We start from the raw sequence: 19,325 nt of genomic DNA on the forward strand, positions 1-19,325 counted from the left end.
ACTCAATGACTGTTAAATATTAATATTTAATGTTTGTATTTAATTTAATTAATATTTAAATGAAACAATGTTAAATGTTATTAACCCTCTTATATTCCATTTCCTTGTAGTATCCCATTAGAAACAATAAGGACAACAAACATTTATAAGGGCTCACTTTGTCCCAGGCACTGTGCTAAGCTCCTGAAGTACATCATTTTGTTGAATCCTTAAAATTTTAGGAGATTGTTACGATTATTTCCACTTTATAAAAAGTGACATTTTTAAAAATTTAAGCTACTTCCCCTAGAAGACATAGCTAGTAAATGGAGTTGATGGGCATTAGAAATTAAGTTTTGTTTGCTTTTTTCTGCAGGGCTGCTGAAACTTGTTTGTACACCTCGTGTTGAATTAAAGTATGAATTCAGACTCAGCAACTCCTGCCTGCATTAACCCAGATAGGCCTCTAGGTGTCCTCATTGACCAAGCTCCAGAATTCTAGGCCAGAGAAAAACTACTTTTAGAAAAGGGTTTCTCAAATAGTTGTGTGACATGGAAGTGCACATTTATGAGAAATATAGCAGCGTTGAGTGTCCGTGTGAGATGGTGATCATGACTCTAAAATAAAATAAATCTGCTTGCTTATGTGATTTTCTCTATGAATATTCAGCTCCTTGGCTACAGGTTGATCGCTGGATTTTAATACAGTCCTAAAGGACTGAGATTTTGATTGGCTGCAAATAGATTTGATGGATGGATGGATTCTTGACCAATGTTATGTAGATGTGATGGAACCCAAATGTTTGTTTTAAGAACCTTTAAAACTGTGCCCACTTAGTCCAAATTGTAACAGATTTCTAAATAAATAAAAAGAAGAAAGAAAAGGTTTTCTCAGGCGTTTTTCAGGTTTCTCAGGTTTTCTCAAGAGTTTGAGTTTTCTTAAACTCTTTCAGGGGAGTTTCTATATATTCTGTGCATGATTACAGACCAAACTGGGCCTGTCCTAGAAGGTTTTCAGTCTGAAGAAAGCTCTGGGATCAAGCAGGGCCAACTTCTCTGTGGATGGGAAGGATATGACACCCATTTGCTCAGCCTACAATCTCCAAGGGTGTGGGGTTTCTCAAACATCTATTATTGTGCTACTTACTCCTGAGCAGGGGCCTGGCAACTAGGTTTCCTGGGTGTCTTGAATCTACAGGACATGTCCTGTTTTAATGATTTTGCTTGGTGTCCTGTATGGATTTTTTTTCCAGGATGCCTTAAATGTCCTATATTCAGCTTTTTAAAAAATTAAGTTACAAAAATTTGGTGGTTAGAGCTATTTTTCAAATTTAATTGGCCTCCGGTATTTGCATTTGTTAAATCTGACCGTCCTACTGGCTGGCTTGTTTGCATTCATATGAACATAGAAAAGGTAGGGACCTGTCTTTGAGCCAGCAGCAGGGCTGTCCTAGGACAAGCCTCAAGTGCTTGTCCTAGTCCTGACTAAGCAGAAGAGCTGTAGCTGAACTGTTAGGAAAATGCCTTAATCAGTTTGATTCCTCAGGTTAGACCTGTGTGAAACCTCCCTGCACAGTGGACTCCAGAGTGGAACAAATTCATGCTTTACAAAGTTTCTGTCTTATACATTTGTGAATTGGAATCCAGGCCTGTGTACCTTCTAGCTATGTAACTTGGGCAAACTACTTAACCTTCTTGAGCTTCTGTTTGGAATTAATAATTGCAAACTTGCTGTGAGGATTAAACAAGAAAAAAGTGGCCGGGCATGGTGGCTCACACCTGTAATCACAGCACTTTGGGAGGTCAAGGTGGGAGGATCACTTGAGGTCAGGAGTTCGAGACAAGCCTGGCCAACATGATGAGACCCCGTCACTACTAAAAATACAAAAATTAGCCAGGTATGGTGGTGCATGTATGTAATTCCAGCTACTCGGGAAGCTGAAGTGGAAGTATCACTTGAACCCAGGAGGCAGAGGTTGCAGTGAGCCAAGATTGTGCCACTGCACTCCAGCCTGGGCAACAGAGCAAGCCTCTGTCTCAAAAAATAAATAAATAAAAATAAAATAAAACTAAATAAATAAATAAGAAAAAAGTGTTCCCAGTACCTACAGCAGTGCCTGAGACGTGAATCAGCCCTCAACAATGATGAGTTAGTTTAGTATTGTCATTTCAGTGGCTAAACTAAGGCAGTGCAAATCCTCCAAACATCATCTTAATATTCAACAACATCTTCTGACTTTTCTCCCTCAGGAAATAGTTTATATCATGAAATACCTTCTAGAGACTTGATGTTATGCTGAGCTGGTTAGGTGCATTATCTTGTTCAGCCCACACAATATCCTTGTGAGATATGTACTAGAGAGGAAACTGAGGCCCAGGGAGGTCAGGAAACTTCCCATAGTTCATATAAGCAGCCAGTAGAAAGGCCAGGAAATATTCCAAGCACAGCAGTCTGTCTCCAGGTCTGCATGACTTCAAAGCCTACACATTTAACCACTATTTTATAAAGATGGGGATGTCTGCTTAGACACCCACTATCAGATCCCTGAAAGGCTTCTTCCATCATAATTGAAGGGCTACTGGAAATGCCCTTCCCAGTCTTGGACTGTCAGTATTCTTGATGATATATTTCTCATCATTGCTTTCCAATCCTTAATCTTTCCTTTTTTCTTTTTAGAGACAGGGTTTTACTTTGTCACCGAGGCTGACGTGCAGTGGTGTGATCATAGCTCACTGTAACCTTGAATCCCTGGGCTCCGGTGATCTTCCCATTTCAGCCTCCAGAGTATTTTGGACTACAGGGGCATGCCACCACTCCCAACTCCTTTTTATTGTTTTGTAGAGACAGGATCTTGCTATAGTGCCCAGGCTGGTCTCAAACTCCTGGCCTAAAGCGATCTTCCTGCCTTGGCCTCCCAGAGTGTTGGAATTACAGGCTTGGGCCACTGTACCCAGCCCTGATCTTCTTATGAAGCCATTTTCTTCTGAAAATGAGGAGGGTCACATAGAGAATGGTTTCTCTGGTGAAGTTATGTGTGTGTTGGGAAGAAGAGGCCAGGTGCTGTGATGCTCATCTAGTTAACTACATCTCCTGTCTTCCAAGTACATTCCTTAAACAAACACCACTGCTCCTTTCCTCCAGCCTGTCTGCACAGGTAATTCCAGCCCAGTCAGTGTTAATGGGCCCTGCATCAGGAATATCTTCAAGCCATGCCCTGATCAGGAGTGTTGCAATTGCACAGCTTGAAAATCCACCAGCTGCAGGCTGCCCTAGGCTGTCTTTTCTTCCCCTGGTTATTTTCACCCTGCTAGTCTGATTTCCAACCTTCCCTTTGACCTTCCCTCTTTCTTCCTCCACAGGCCTACTTTAGTTGCTTCTTCCCTTCCCTTTTCATTTTCATTGATTTCCATTTAAGAGAGGTGGTTGTTGAGCAATTGCTGTTTTCTTTTTTTGGTTTTATTTTGTTTTTGAGATGGGGATTTGCTCTGTCACTCAGGCTGGAGTGCAGAGGCATGATCATGGCTTACTGCATCCCTGACCTCTTAGGCTCAAATGATCTCCCACTTCAGCCTCCCAAATAGCTGAAACTACAGGTGTGCACCACCATACCTGGCTCATTTTTTATTTTTTTGTATAGACGGGGTCTCACTATGTTGCCCAGGCTGGGCTCAAACTTCTGGGCTCAAGCAGTTTTCCTATGTTGGCCTCCCCAAGTGCTGGAATTACAGGCATGAGCCACTGCACCTGGTGAGCAATTGCATTTTTATAATGTCATGGTTAATAAAGAACATGATGGCCAGGTGTGGTGGCTCATGCCTGTAATCCCAGCACTTTGGGAGGCTGAGGTAGGCAGGTCACGAGCTCAGGAGTTTGAGACCAGCCTGGCCAACATGGTGAAACCCCGTCTCTACTAAAAATACAAAAATTAGCTGGGCGTGGTGGCGGGTGCCTGTAATCCCAGCTACTAGGGAGGCTGAGGCAGGAGAATTGCTTGAACCCAGGAGGCAGAGGTTGCATTGAGCGGAGATCATGCCATTGTACTCCAGCCTGGGCAACAGAGCAAGACTCTGTCTCAATCAAATCAAATCAAATCAAATCAAATCAAATCAAATCAAATCAAATCAAATAACATGAGATGTGGAGCCAAACAGACGTAGGTTTGAATTTTAGCTTTACCACTTACTTACTGTTTGGCCATGTAACCAAAGGAATATTAAACTTTCTGAACCTCCCTTTTTATATCCTCATCTGGGGATAAGACCATTTTTCTTGCACAGTTGTAGGGAGAATTAGATGGGTAATGTATGCCTGTAACCCACTGTTTATGGTGAGAAGTAAAAAATGGCAGCTTTCTGTCTTCTTACCTTGATAGATTTCTTTAATCCTGGCATAATAATCTGTCTTCACATTCTTTTAGTTTCTAAAACTGGCCAAGCTTCTCCTGGCTTTACAGCCTTGGCGAATGTTATATGTCATTCTCTTAAACCCTAGAGAGCTTCTATTCTTTTTGCTTAATTGTATCTTCTCTTACCAATCCTCAAGTCTAAGCTTAAGCATCACCTTTCCAAAGGGGCCCATTGTGTCCCTACAATCTCAGCTATAGCTCCCCACCCCTCTCACCACCCTTGGCTCTCATAGGATTGTCATGTTAACTTACTGAGAGAGGTTACTTCTTTTTCTCCCCTATTGGCCTGTAAGCTTCAGGAAAGCAGGGACCATCGTATCCCCAGTGACTAGGACAGTGACTGACTGCCACATAGTTGGTATCCTAATGTTTGTTGGACACATGGTTTTTTTCTTTCGAGACAGAGTCTCGCTCTGTTGCCCAGGCTGGAGTGCAGTGGTATAATCTCGGCTCACCACAACCTCTGCCTCCTGGGTTCAAGTGATTCTCCTGCCTCAGCCTCCCAAGTAGCTGGGATTATAGGCGCATGCCACCGCGCCTTGCTAATTTTTGTATTTTTAGTAGAAATGGGGTTTCACCATGTTGGCCAAGCTGGTCTTGAACTCCCGACCTCAAGTGATCCACCTGCCTTGGCCTCCCAAAGTGCTGGGATTACAGGCATGAGCCACCACACCTAGGTGCAGTATATTTAATGATCCTCGTTCCCTTCAAATCATTAGGAGAAGCCAGAACATGTCTCCAGATGCCCCACAGGGTGTGGTACAGTCCCAGTTGAAAAATCACAGATCTTTTAAACCTTGGGTACTTCACATGAATGTTATAACCATTCAAGAAGAGAAAATTATATGAAACTCAGAAGTTAGGTGAACTCCCATCCCCCTCCTAGTCCCAGTACACCATTCTTGCCAAGGCATCTGATATTCAAAAGCAAAAGGAAATAGAATGTGTTTGTGTGTGTGTTTAGTGTTAAGAAGAGCAATCAGGTAAGTATTGCCAAAATGGATCTTTCGCACACTTCCTATTTTCTTTTGCAGAGGTGACAGATTCTCCCTGAATCATCAAAGGCAGAAAAGGATGACAGTGGTATCAGGACACTCTGATGGTGGGCTCAGATTCCAATCTGAGATTAATCTCAGATGCACTCTTTCCAAAGAGAATCAAGGTGAAGCCCACAGGTCCATACATCTGATAGGGCTGAATTTTGAGAGGGTTTCTCAAGGGCATTGTAGAAGAGCATTTCACAATTCACATTATCACACTGCCCCTAAACAATTCAAAATGGGGAAGGATCAATAGATACTTACAGTGTCACTGATCAATATTTAGTTCATTATCGTTATCTGTGATTTTAACAAGTATATTCAGTAGGGTAAGACATTTTATTGACTAGAAAACAATTTAAGAAATGTACTTGATCCACTAGAAATAAATAATGTACTTGATCCACTAGCAATCAATAATTCAGCCCAGTGGGCACCACCTGAAACTGGGTAGTTTCCTAGGTAAGGGTTATTTTGACCTGTGCTTGGATTTAGACCTAACTCAGCCCTTCTGCCACTAGTAAATGAAAGAAAATTAGGACTGTTACCTTTAAGAAGTAACAATGAGCAAGGAGAACTGGGCTTAGCATGTATACATTCAATTTTCATTAATCCGTTTAAAAAGTTATGTTTGCTACTTTCACTCTTCCTATGGAGAAGTTGTTCCTGGATAGCATTCACGGAATGAGGAATTCATAGTTTAGTATTTGGAGTATGCCAACTCAGGATTTACTTCCTGCTTTTCTCCTACTAGTGGTAAATTACATGACCTTTCTAATTCTCAGATTCTTTCTCTGTAAAATGGAGATTATCTAGCACTATACACCCCATTAGGCTGTTGTGGGGATTAAATGAGAAAATACATATAAAGCACTTTTGCACACCAGCCTGGAGCACATTGAACTAGAATTCAACAAAAGCCAACTCGTTTTTGCAGCAGGACATACTTTCTTTTTTCTACTCCAAAGTGGCACAAGGATGGGGGTGGAAGGGATACAGAGTAGTAGAAAAGACCCAGGGAAGTCCAGAGGAGGGGCATATGAAAACAGAGAAACAGGCCGGGCCTGGTGGCTCACACATGTAATCCCAGCACTCTGGGAGGCTAAGGAGGGCAGATCACTTGAGGTCAGGAGTTCGACACCAGCATGGCCAACATGGTGAAACCCATCTCTACTAAAAATACAAAAATTAGCCGTGTATGGTGGTGCACACCTGTAATCTCAGCTACTAGGGAGTCTGAGGCAGGAGAATTGCTTGAACCTGGGAGGCAGAGGTTGTAGTGAGCTGACATCGTGCCACTGCACTCCAGCCTGGGCCACAGAGCGAGACTCCATCTTAAAAAAAAAAAAAAAAAAAAAAAAAAAAAAAAAAAAACAGAAGAAAAGAGAGAAACAGGACGTAAGAGGCTCGCTAAACTTTTGAGCTGAAAAAGGAGTGAAGCTTTTCATTACCTTCTGGGCTTTGTGTACATGTCAAAAGATTTTGTCTTTGGAAATGGACTGCATCTCCATGCCCTGTGACATAACAGGAGACAACTACTGTTTGTCTTGTCTTGATAAGCATGGATGAAGTACCTCCCTTGACATAACTCCAAGTCAGCACTTATTAAAGGGTGGTCTGTAACGTGGTGCAAGGTAAGTACAGAAATTGAGAGTTGGTGTTTAGAAACTTTGATTCCAACTTGACAGAGTAGTTTTATGTCTGCTGAATCTAATAATACATAGGGATGTGTATTTTCTTACGTTTTTTCAATAATCTAGCAATTTTTTTCTGAATTAGCTTTTCTCCTCTAGTAATTTGCTTTTATTTTACTTTATAAAACTATAGGTACACAATGGATTGGAATCTTTAAAAATTGGTCTTTCACTACTTTGAAAAGCACTACTCTAGAAAATAATCTAAACTTGCCTATTGTACCGAAGAAAGTCATTCTTCCAGTTCTGGAAGCTCTTTAAGGACTCACCTTTGTAGTAACTCTTTAGTCTGAGCCTTTGTTCCTAAGAACAGACCAAACTAATAGTTTAAAACAATTCCGGAATCTTTATTTCTTGTAATATTTAAGCTTTTGTGAGTACAAGGAAGAATTTTGAAAATTTTTGTCAAATATAGAAAAATAGATAAACATCTAGTAGGGTGAGGCAATTTTAAAAATCCACCTTGTTAAACATATATCTTTATGAGGTAGATCAGTATGTCTTGATACAGAGGCCCAAGATATATTAGGCAGAAAACAAAACAAACAAAAAAAAATGTTGTAAAACTGTACTTGTAATATGCTGGACTTTAAAAAAATTACTATATGCATAGAAAAAAATCCAAACAAATATACAATAAATTAACTATTATATCTGAGAGTGTTCGGCTAATGGGCACGATTATGTTTTTGTTATGTACTATTTTGGTTTTGCATTTAACCATGGTATTTTGTAATAAAAAAGAGGAAACGTACATGTTGAATAATGTACTTTTGTCACTTTTGGCTTTTAATAAATAACGTAGTTTAATTGGTTTAATACCAATGCGGTTGAGAAATGTTTTTCAAAAGAGACGAAGAAAACCGTGCAGTAGGATTGCTGAACTTCCATTTCTTTCTTTTTTTTTTTTTTTTTTTTTTCTTGAGACAAGGTCTGTTATTGCCTAGGCTGGAATGCAGTGGCACGATCCTGGCTCACTGCAACCTCCGCCTCCTGGGCTCAAGATATCCTCCCAACTCAGCCTCCCAAGTAGCTGAGATTACAGGCACACATCACCATGACTGGCTAATTTTTGTATTTTCATAGAGATGGGGTTTCACCATGTTGTCCAGGCTGGTCTTGAACTCCTGAGCTCAAGCAATCCTCCCACTTCGGCCTCCCAAAGTGCTGGGATTACAGGTGTGAGCCGCTATGCCTGGCCCTGAGCTTCCATTTCTATACCTTCTTTTCCTCTGTGGGAGCCAAGTTATATTTGCCCTTTCAAGGCATGCTTGCAAGTGTAACCATACTATTTCAGGAACAGAAAAATGTTATTTTATGCAAGATACATGTATGGAAATATATTTCATTTCCACTCCCTTCTCCACATTATGTAGGATTAAAGGATGTCAGAGAACTAATTTCTTGAATTTAGAAGACCTGTTTGCCAGTCTGTGAAATTAGTATAAATTACTTGCTACAAATAAACAACATTCCCAAGATTAAAAAACCTAAAAGTTCTCACCAGTCATCCTCAGTGAGACAAACTACCGCATTTCATCAATTCTAAGGCAACTTTATTGTAAGACACAGCATTATTTTTAATGTACTATTAAGAAAAAACTGCCAATTCAAGTAGAATATGCCATCAATAAAAAGATGAACCATGTTTTTAATGTAAATATTTAAAAATGTACATCCCGGAATTAATAAAATACGGTAATACTATAAATAAAAATCCGAAGCCTTGCCCAATATGATTACTTGAAGTAGAGCACTGCGACCTGCTTCACATGAACCCCTGACATAAATGGAAGAAAACGTAAACATTTTCAGTAGCACACCTTTTGTTTATTGACCTATGTAAAAAAATAATAGGTCTTGAAAAGTCAGAACAATAAAAGAATATGCAAAAAGGTTATTTCTGATTCTAGAAGGCTATACAAATATGCAAAAAAGGAATAAGTTATTTTTTTTTGCTTGTCTTTTTTCCAAAATTTTTTCCCAAACTTCATTTCTAATTATACAAATGACTAAGGACCAGTTTAACAAATCGTTTTTATGTATATATTACATGCTTTGGAATATAGATAGAAAATGTTCCAAAAAAGTTGTTCAGAAACTTTTCTATTCACAATATGAACAAGAAACTTGTATAAAAGAAGGGGGAAAGGAGCACCTTTTATGTAATTTTGAAGCAAAGATGACAAAAAAGATCAATCTGGAATATGGAAATCATTTGCTTTAAAAAACAAACAAACAAAACCCTACAATAAACCATAGCTAATTAGTTCTTCCAAGGAAAGTATGAGGTAGTTTTAGCCTCATAATTAAATCCACTGCAGCTTGGAGCTTTTTGTCGTTGTTGTTGTTTTTCTTTTTTAATGTTAACCTTGTTTTTGTCACTTGGTGACTTGGAACTACTTGTGGAATCCAGACTTGTTTAATTTTCTAACGTTCACCATTTTAAGGCACGCAATTCATCTAAAATGACGTGGCTTTTTTTTTCTGTTGTTTTGGATACTTTCTGTATCATCTTAAAATGCTTTTTCAAACTCATAATTATAAAAACTTTCCATATTAAGTCTGCCACTTCAAATGACAGCCGAGTTGGAGAATTAACAGCCAGAACAATAGCTCATCACGCAATTAGTGGAGAAAGGAAAAAGGAGCTCCATGATATTGTACCTTAGAATGTTCTCCAAGCAGACTTTGTCAATTATTCAGTGGGCTGCTTCATTTTCCCCAATCTGCTACCATAAGTTATATTACAGGATGCTAAGGTAATCAGTTTTTCCAGAACCCATTTTATGGTGCTTATGAAAAACATCACTCTTTATAGTATCCTAAAAAACATTTACACTCATTCAGAACTTCATGAAAATCCAGCTTCAAGTAATTTTCCAATACTGTCTAAATTGTCCATGTCTGTGTAGAAAGAGCATGTTACTCTTTGTCAGCTCACGAATTCAAACTCTGAAGTGAGCAATGACTCCGGAGCTTCTGGTTCCCCTTCTCTCATCCTGCTGAATTGTGCTCTGAGATTTCCCCTGTTCTTATTGCCATGGGACATCCTGAATGCCCTTTCATGTTTTTGAGGTTTGCCTTTAACAACTTTTACTCCCTTAAAAAGTGCTTGCTATTGATGAAGGCTTCACACTGAGTCCTCTCTTGGCAATACTTCAACATGTGGGCAGACCCTACAGTTACGTTAGTGCCTAGAGTTTGAAAGGCCAAATCCTCCTTTAGGGGCTTTGTGGGGCTTGGTGTGTGATTCACTGATTCACTTCCAGGGCAACTAAGTCTTCTCTTCAACCTTTGATGTCTTTAGGTTTCTAAAACGAACATCCTCTCGGAAGACAAATACAATTTGCAAGGCACACTAGTGTGAGAACGCAGTGCTTGGTCAGGAGGTCCAACTGCAGTTCAGACTAATGTTCCAGGCTTTGAATCTTCATGCCAAAAGAGTCTCTGCTCACTACTCTCCAGGTTGTCTTCCAGCTGGTTTCCATCTGTACCATCCAGTTGACTGATTTCTGTGTATTGTCTATTAAAGAAAACCAGAAAAGTTACTACTTGTGGCCATATTTTTGTCCCCACAGCACAAAGACTACTACATTTAAAGAAGTTAGTAGGAAGCACTGTTAAGAAAAATTTCCCAAAATGTAGAGATAAGGGAAAGGAGAAGGGTGACTGCATGTTCTTTCAATGTCATACTGGAGCATTGTTTAACAGGCCCATAAAAAGGATTATTTAATTCTCTGGAAAGATATGCCTTTGTTTAACTTGTGTTTCATTGATCAGGACCCAGACTGTATTAAGTTACATGTTAACTTGTAGATTTTTGTCTCAAAGAAATACAAATAACTTGTCTAGTAAAAAAGATTATGGTTACAGTTTTATTGAACTATAGGACATTAACTGGTTTTGTATCTAATTTAGTAGTCTTTTCCAACATTCTCTCTTTCAGTGTCTCGGAGTCTCTTTGAACCAGCTTTACCATCCTGCTAGTTCACTTATTAATGAGTTAAACAAATCTTCGGCCCATGTCCATTTTTACTTGTGTGACAGCTATATTTTTAACTTTTTAAAAAGTATATTGTGACAATCACATTTTAAGTACTCTTCGAATTGAGGGAATATGCTAGATGCTTTCCTCAGGGACAAAATAATATATTTAGAAGGTGGCAGGGGCACATAGGGACATATATGATATCCCTGGGGTTTATGGGTCAGGCATAAATTGGAAGTGACCCAGGACACAGCATCACATTTAAAAATCATACGCATATTTAGATGGCAATTCCAAATGAGAGCATCCTATCATACAAACCATTCCGATAAGCAAAACCCCATTATTGTAACGGTAGGTTAAGAGAGATTAGACAGTTAGTTGATTTCTTTTTTATTTTACATTCCAAAGTATTTTAGTAAAGGTGATTTTTTTTTTAAAGTCTTTGGAAGAAGAGCTTTGGAAATAAAGGTTTTTAGTGTTTTCATGTAACATAAAAAACAAAGCCAGATTTCATAATTTCACACATCAGTCAGTGCAAGCAAAACTCCTGCTATGCAAGAAGCAACACACAGATTGGAGGTACTGTACTTACTACAGCTGGCTACACTTAGCAAAAGAGAATTTACAACTGATCTCACTTCTGGAGACACAACCATTCTTGGGGATAGAAGCCCTTGGTTTTGCCTAGTAATAGAGTTAGATAGGAAAGGAGAAAGGGAATGGAAAATAGGAGGTGAAAGAAAAAAGTTATTTGAAAATACAGTTGGCAGCAGTAGAGCCAAGAATTTGACTGTATTATATACTAGGTAGCTTCAACATTTCTACTTCGGAAAGTTTATGCTAATGACAATTATGCCAATTGTACTAGAAAAAAAATTTTATTGGTAAAAATTAGTACCTTTCTATAATTTTAAGACCCGGATACTCTAGGGCAAAGGATCTTTAAATAATATACACTTTATTTAAAAAAACAACAAAACACTAATATATTGCTATGCATTTCAAATCTTTGGCTTAACGGGAAAATCTAGTTTTTCATTTTTATCGTTAACACCTAATTTCTCTCTTATTTTAAAAATCATGATTTCATAAAAACAATTTACAGAATTTTAGAGCAAATTTATAAAGCTTTATGAATGATTGTTATTATCCTTGCCCTGTTAATAGGTTAAATTGATCAGACTGTATCCTAAAAAGAATCCTAAATAAACAAATGGATGGAAATAAGTACTTCTGTATCTCCGTGGCTGGAAAGGCAAAGTTGCAAATCTTTCTGGAAGGCAAGAGCTTAAAAAAATACACTTTTCAATTTAATCCATTAACTCTACTTATTGGAATATATCCTAGGAAAATAATCTGGGATTCAGACAAATATTTTGGACAAAGATGTTAACAGCTGCAATACTGGGCTGGGCGCCGTGGGTTACACCTGTAATCCCAGCACTTTGGGAGGCTGAGGCGGGTGGATCATGAGGTCAGGAGTTCAAGACCAGCCTGGCCAACATGGCAAAACCCTGTCTCTATTAAAAATACAAAAATTAGCCAGATGCGGTGGTATGCACCTGTAATCTCAGCTACTTGGGAGGCTGAGGCAGGAGAATCACTTGACCCTGGGTGGCAGAGGTTGCAGTGAGCCGAGATCGTGTCACTGCACTCCAACTTGGGCAACAGAACAAGGCTCCGTCTTGGGAAGAAAAAAAAAAAAATAGCTGCAGTACTTTTATAAAAAAAAGAAGGAAAAATCTAAAAGCCTCTCAAAAAAAACTTCAAAAAATGAGGAGCTGCTACGTAAAGTAGGGTATATTTGAGTGGAATATCATATTGGTCATATAAAATAAGGTTTAAAGAGTTTTAAAACACATGGGAACATGGTTATGTTATGATGTTAAGTTTTTAAAAAAATGGAGATGTAGAATTTCATGTACAACATAAGATGTAAAACTGTATGTACAATATCATTATAACCATGTTAAGTGGACAGAGAAAAATGGGGAAAATATGCCAAAATGTTAACAGCTGCTTTCTCTGGATGGTGGAATTATGGCTAATTTATTTCCTACTTATTTATCTCTTTATTATAAATTTTCTACCATGAGCTCATATATGCACACGCATACACAAACACACAATAGGGATCTTTAAATAGCTTCTAATTTCCTGTATGTTATGACCCCTCTGATCCCCTATCAAGCCATCTTGGGCTGTCTGATATATATGAGCAGACTTGGTAAAAACAGATTTTCTCTAAAAATGCTTAACACTTCCTGAGTCCAATTACAGTAGTGTTAAGGATATGAGAACTGAGTAATGCACCAAAAACTGTATAATCATTTCTGAGTCAACAAAAAGGCAAGTAAAATTACACAAACACGAAAATAATTTGCAAATATATTATTAAAAAATGGTTAGAAGTAAACTGAAAAGGCTAGGCTCAAATTTTAGGCCAGTCATTTTGGTTCTTGCTCCTAACTCATTTTCAAACATTATTTACAGAAGTCCAAGCTATTTGACATCCTCTGAAGTATATTTTCATTAAAATTCTATTTTGAGTATAGCCTTTGTTTAGCTGAGACAATTGGCTTAATATTTGAAGCCAAGAAAAACTCCCACTGAATGCGGAGGAAAAAAAAAGGCATTTGGGGCTGAATATTTCCAATTTGATTGTAACAGTGAGTGTCTTAATAAGAAACTGCTAAATTCTCAAATTTACCAGCATAGAAACCTTTATAAGTTGTAGTCTGTATAACTTAGTATGTAGTCTGTGTCTGAAGCACTATGACTTAAATCAAAACTACACATTCTAAAAACAGGAGAAAATGCCCTACTTCTTGGTACCATGGGTGTGGATTATCTTTTGTGGGAAAGTAAAAGGGAGACACGACCTCTTCAAACTTAATTCCTGTGCATAACAAGAATTTTTTTAAAAACTAATTCAGAGTTTGCAATTTTTTAAAAAATCAGTTTTAACAAATTGCTCTTGTACATTTCCTCTAATGTTTACAAAGAACTACTTTTACAGACAAACAGGACAGCTGGCTGTGTCTGTTGCTTCATAACAAACATAGGATCAGATAAAAAACGCAGCAAATGTTTGAAATCCAGCCTACCAACTGTCTAAGGAACCTTGGTATGAACAGCCTTTCCTGGAGTAGAGAGATTTTTCCTGCAAGGTTTCAAAAGAGACTTAAATGGACATATCACTAATAGGATTTCAAGTACCATAATTTAAAAAATAAAAGCTTCAGACTCAGAATTCAATGTACAGACTAAAGAACAGAATGCGTTAGATGAGGGGTTAGCAAACTTTTTCTTTTCTTCTCTTTTTTTTTTTTTTTTTTTTTTTGAGACGGAGATGGAGTCTCGCTCTGTCGCCCAGGCTGGAGTGCAGTGGCGCGATCTGGGCTCACTGCAAGCTCTGCCTCTGGGGTTCACGCCATTCTCCTGCTTCAGCCTCCCGAGTAGCTGGGACTACAAGCGCCCGCCACCATGCCCAACTAATTTTTTGTATTTTTAGTAGAGATGGGGTTTCACCGTGTTAGCCAGGATGGTCTCGATCTCCTGACCTCATGATCCGCCCGCCTCGGCCTCCCAAAGTGCTGGCATTATAGGCATGAGCCACCGTGCCCGGCAGCAAACTTTTTCTTAAAGGCCAGATATTTTTGGCTTTGGTGTCTGTGCAAGTAGTTCTTTGTAAACATTAGAGGAAATATACAAGAATTCAATGTAATACTGAAGACCAGGGTCAAATCTGAATGAGTTAGATTAGGGGTTAGCAAACTTTTTCTTAAAGGCCAGATACTTTTTGGCTGATGGTGGCCAGATATTTTTGGCTTTGGTGCAACTACTCAGCTCTGCCCTCATAGTGCAAAAACAGCCATAGAGAACATGTAAGTGAATGAGGGTGGCTATTCTCCAATGAAACTTTATTTACCAAAACAGATGGCAGCTGGAGTTGGCCCACAGGCTAGAGTTTGCCAACCCCTGAACTAGATTATCTGACGTTTGTAAATTAGGATCCCTGAATTCTTTTGAACTGGAACAGGCTCCTAGGATTTTCGAGCATTGCTTCCTCACCTGCTTGGAGAGGGTAAAGGATTATAGACATTGCCATAGCAGCTGGTGTAAGAAGAATGTGCTGGAGTCTCGTAATCCGACAGCCCTATGGTTAACTGGGTCCTCCAGTTCCCAGAAGCATTTGTAGAAGACACTGGAAATAAAAATGGAAAAAGATAAAATTAATGGAAATATTAAAAGTGAAAAATTGTTAAGGTCATTCAGAGGTACATTGCAATCAGCTTTGTCAGAGGAGAAATTTAAGAGGGTTTGAAATAACAGAGTTCCTATTCCAATTTAGTGACTTCCTGGCTATGTGACCTTAGGCAAGTAGTTTATCCTCTTTAAGCCTCAGTTTCCTCATCTATAGAGTAGGGATAATAATATTAATATATTCTGTATAGGTATGATGCCAGGATTAAATAAGGTAATTATGAAAATCTTTAGCACTGTACTTGATACAAAGTACTCAGTAAATAACTATTAATATTATTATTGAGAATAAGATTAATTGAAAGATAAATTTGTCAATTCAAAAAATAATCTAGGTTGGGGCCAGGTGTGGTGGCTCATGCCTGTAATCCAAGCACTTTGGGAAGCCGAGGCGGGAGGACCACTTGAAGCTAAGAGTTCAAGACCAGCCTGGCCAACATGGTGAAACCCTGTCTCTACCAAAAAATACAAAAATTAGCTGGGCATGGTGGCGCATGCCTATAATCCCAGCCACTCAGGAGGCTGAGACAGGAGAAATACTTGAGCCCATGAAGTTTAAGTTGCAGTGAACCAACATCACACCACTGCACTCCAGCCTTGGTGACAGAGTGAGGCTCTGTCTCAAAATAAATAAATAAATAAAAATAATTTCAGGTCAGCTCAGTGGCACAAGCCTGTAATCCCAACACTTTGGGAAGTCAAGGTGGGAGTAACGCTTGAGCCCAGGAGTTCAAGGCTAGCCTCAGCAACATGGCAAAACCCCATCTCTGCAAAAAATACAAAAATTAGCCTGGCATGGTGGTGCACACCTGTAGTCCCAGCAACTTGGGAAGCTGAGGTGGGAGGATCACTCAAGCCTTGGAAGTCAAGGCTACAGTGAGCCATGTTTGCACCACTGCACTACAGCCTGGGCCACCAAGTGAGATCCTATCCCAAGAAAGAAAATAATAATAACACATAAATAATTTTTAAAATAACTGAAAAGACAAGCAAGAAAACAATTCTCATATATTGCGAGAATCTTCCCATTCACGCTATGGTGTTATAAAGGTAAGGTGATGAGTCTGGGTTTGTCAGAGGCCTTGGAGGAAATGTGTTCCATAAGTTGACTTATTGAGACTTGACTATTCCTCAGCCAAAGACAACACTGGCCGCTAGCAAGATCAAGGCTATTTTTTGTCTTAAAAAAAAGTGTGTATGTGTTGGGGTGTGGATTGGGGGAAGAGGCGAGGTGGTAAGTAGCACAGGAAGGAATTCAGGAAGAAGGGATTTAGTTCTACAGAGGAACTGAACTGGAACAAGACAAGGACATAATTTGGGAGCGAAGCCCAACAAATGCCTCATCACTGGGCGTTTGTTGTCCTCTCTATAAAACCAGTTCTGCTCCACGCCTAGGATGGACAAGATAACCACACGCCATGATACTCGTTCAAGACTCAAAAACCAGCACTGCCCTTTTTCCATTTCCTGTTTCTGGCTTCAGACCTACTCCTCTTCTCTCTCATACACACAAAGTGCCTGTGATCACTATGGGACAAACGCATTTCAAAACTCATCTGTGGCCCTGGATGTCATGAGGTGTTGACTAACAGATGTAACACTCTGAGTTTGAGCTTCCAAGCCATTTCCAAACTGAAATCAGAGGCTCTAAGCCTTGGTGGTTAAGATGTTAGAGCTGTGGGGCTGGGTGTGATGGCTCATGGTTGTAATCCCAGCACTTTGGGAGGCTGAGGTGGGAAGATCACTTGCAGCTAGGGCTTAGAGGCCAGCCTGGGAAACAGAGCCCAGTCTCTACAAAAAAATAAAATTAGCCAGGCATGGTGGTGTGTACTTGTAGTCCTAGCTACTTGGGAGGCTGAGGAGGGAGGATCGCGTTGAGCCAAGGAGTTTGAGACTGAGTGAGGTATAATAGTATCACTGCACTCCAATGTGGGTGACAGACTGAGACTGTCTCTTTAAAAAAGAAAAAAAAAAAAAAAAGGAGCTGAGCTAGGACAGAATCCCCAGAATCCCCATCCCACCACTTAGTAGCTTTGGAACTTGGGTTATTTAAACTCTGTAGCCAGAGTTGCCTAAGCTGCAAAATTAGGATGATAACAATAAGCATAACAATAGCAATCACTATATAGAACTGTTGCATACATTAAATAGGAGAGTGCATGTAATGTTCTGAATGTGCATGGCATCTAGTAAGCTGCCAACAAATGGTAGTTGTCATTACTAAAACTGAGTCACCGAGAGATCCTTCAGGTGGCTGGAAGGGACTACAATGCCAGGACTAATCTGGCAAATAACTGGAAATTTATCACTCCATGAGAATGACGCCTGCCTGTTGTAATACATTTCTGCAGTTTTAAAGTGGAGACAGAAATGAGGGGAATTCCAGCAGGGAATTCTGGGAGTACTGATTCCACCCCTGTAGTTCTTTAAAGAGTGATGCCTTTTGGTCTGTGGGGCCACATCTTGCTGGTGTCAGCAAGGCTCACACCAGGTCTGAAACAGGAAGCTTTACCTCCATTTCACCTTTACTAAGCTAGCAGCCAGGAATGTTGAGTTTCCTCAGTTAACACCTGCTTCCCCCAGGCACCACCCCAGCCCTGTGCCGTAGTGACCATCCACATGCATCTCAGCCCTCCTTGTTTGGTCTTTCCCTTGTAGTACTCTGTCTGTTCTGCCCAGGTTTGACCTGTGAAAGTTTCTCACATCTTGAACTTTAAGAGGAAGAAAGGTGTTTTCTAGGTCAGAGCCATAAATAAGAAATAATTACCGAAGCCCTTTCATATGTTAGATGTGGTAATAGATGGGACAGCCCTAGTGGAAGTCCAAAGTCCTGCACAAATAGGAGAGAACTTGAACCCAAATAGAAATCTCCATGGAAACGCCTCATCAACAAGTACATGAAACTTTTAAAGGTGTAGTTTTCACTTGACTATTATACAATGACTCAGGAATCCTTATACTATGTCTCACTAAGGTGTCATGTTAATAAGGGAGAAGGTGAGACTCATGACCTACAGGTTTTCTGGCAGTTTGAGAATTCATTCATTTCTTAGCGTTTTAAAATTGCTTAATTTTTAAACATTCCTCTGGCTGCTGACTCTGAGCTCATCGTGGCCAGGAACTAGTTCAACAATGGGTCCTCCACATCTTGAATGTGGCTGCTCATTTGCTGAATAAATAAAACCATACACAGAGCCTCCCCTATCTTCTATTTCTCTACTTAAAGTACCTAGTACAACTGGGAGTAGGCAGGAAGTCCTCCACAAATGTTAGCAGAGTTAGGGGCCAAAGTCAACATCAAGAGTATAAAGGAAACATCTCTAATCAAAATTATCTTTGAAAATCCCTTAAGTCAACCACAACATAGGTATATATGAATACTGAATTACAATATGCATGGCCAGGCACTGCGGCTCTCACATGTAATCCCAACACTTTGGGAGGCCAAGGCAGGAGGGTTGCTTGAGGCCAGGAGTTTGAGACCAGCCTGGGCAACATAGCAAGACCCAACCTAAGCCTCCTTGTTTCTACAAAAAAAAAAAAAAAAAAAAAAAAGCAAATTACTTAGAACAGTGCTTAATCAATGCCAGCTCCTATAAGGATTCTTACGAGCCTTATGCAGGCACTTGCCTAAGTACCTGCATAATCCCAGGCTTGCATTCAAAGCAGTCCTTAGATGATCAATCTTGGTGGTGAACCAGGAGGGATGTATAATTCTAATGTTTTCTGCTTACCTGAGGGTTTATTCTTTTAAAATATCAAGCCTCAATGACGTGAACACATTTAAGAGATGTGCCTGTCAACGTAAATCCTAAAAAGACAAAGCAAGTGAAACCCCTAACACATCCCAGCCTAGGCGACAGAGTGAGACTCCTTCTCAAAAACAAAAAACAAAAAACAAAAAAAAACCCTAAAACAGGGCAGCACAGAGAGTAAATGCTCAATC

The 19,325-nt window shown here is 39.5% G+C and overlaps 1 protein-coding gene across 18 annotated transcripts in view; it reads right to left on the reverse strand.

Moving 5' to 3' along the window:
- FRMD4B (FERM domain containing 4B) overlaps positions 7,446 to 19,325 on the reverse strand; it is a 373,805-nt gene continuing 361,925 nt past the window's right edge. For 10 of the 18 annotated variants that reach the window (XM_047447767.1, XM_017005991.2, XM_017005989.2 and 7 more), the window contains 3 exons: positions 15,188 to 15,320; positions 11,706 to 11,797; positions 7,446 to 10,645 (listed from right to left, as the gene is read on the reverse strand). In XM_047447767.1, the coding sequence (XP_047303723.1) occupies positions 10,530 to 10,645; positions 11,706 to 11,797; positions 15,188 to 15,320 (341 nt within the window). In that variant the 3' untranslated portion in view covers positions 7,446 to 10,529. The remainder of the gene's footprint in view (positions 10,646 to 11,705; positions 11,798 to 15,187; positions 15,321 to 19,325) is intronic. The other 8 variants (XM_017005993.2, XM_047447771.1, XM_047447769.1 and 5 more) reach the window with 1 other exon arrangement.

The sequence above is a fragment of the Homo sapiens genome, chromosome 3 (assembly GCF_000001405.40).
Source record: "Homo sapiens chromosome 3, GRCh38.p14 Primary Assembly".
Taxonomy (NCBI): domain Eukaryota; kingdom Metazoa; phylum Chordata; class Mammalia; order Primates; family Hominidae; genus Homo; species Homo sapiens.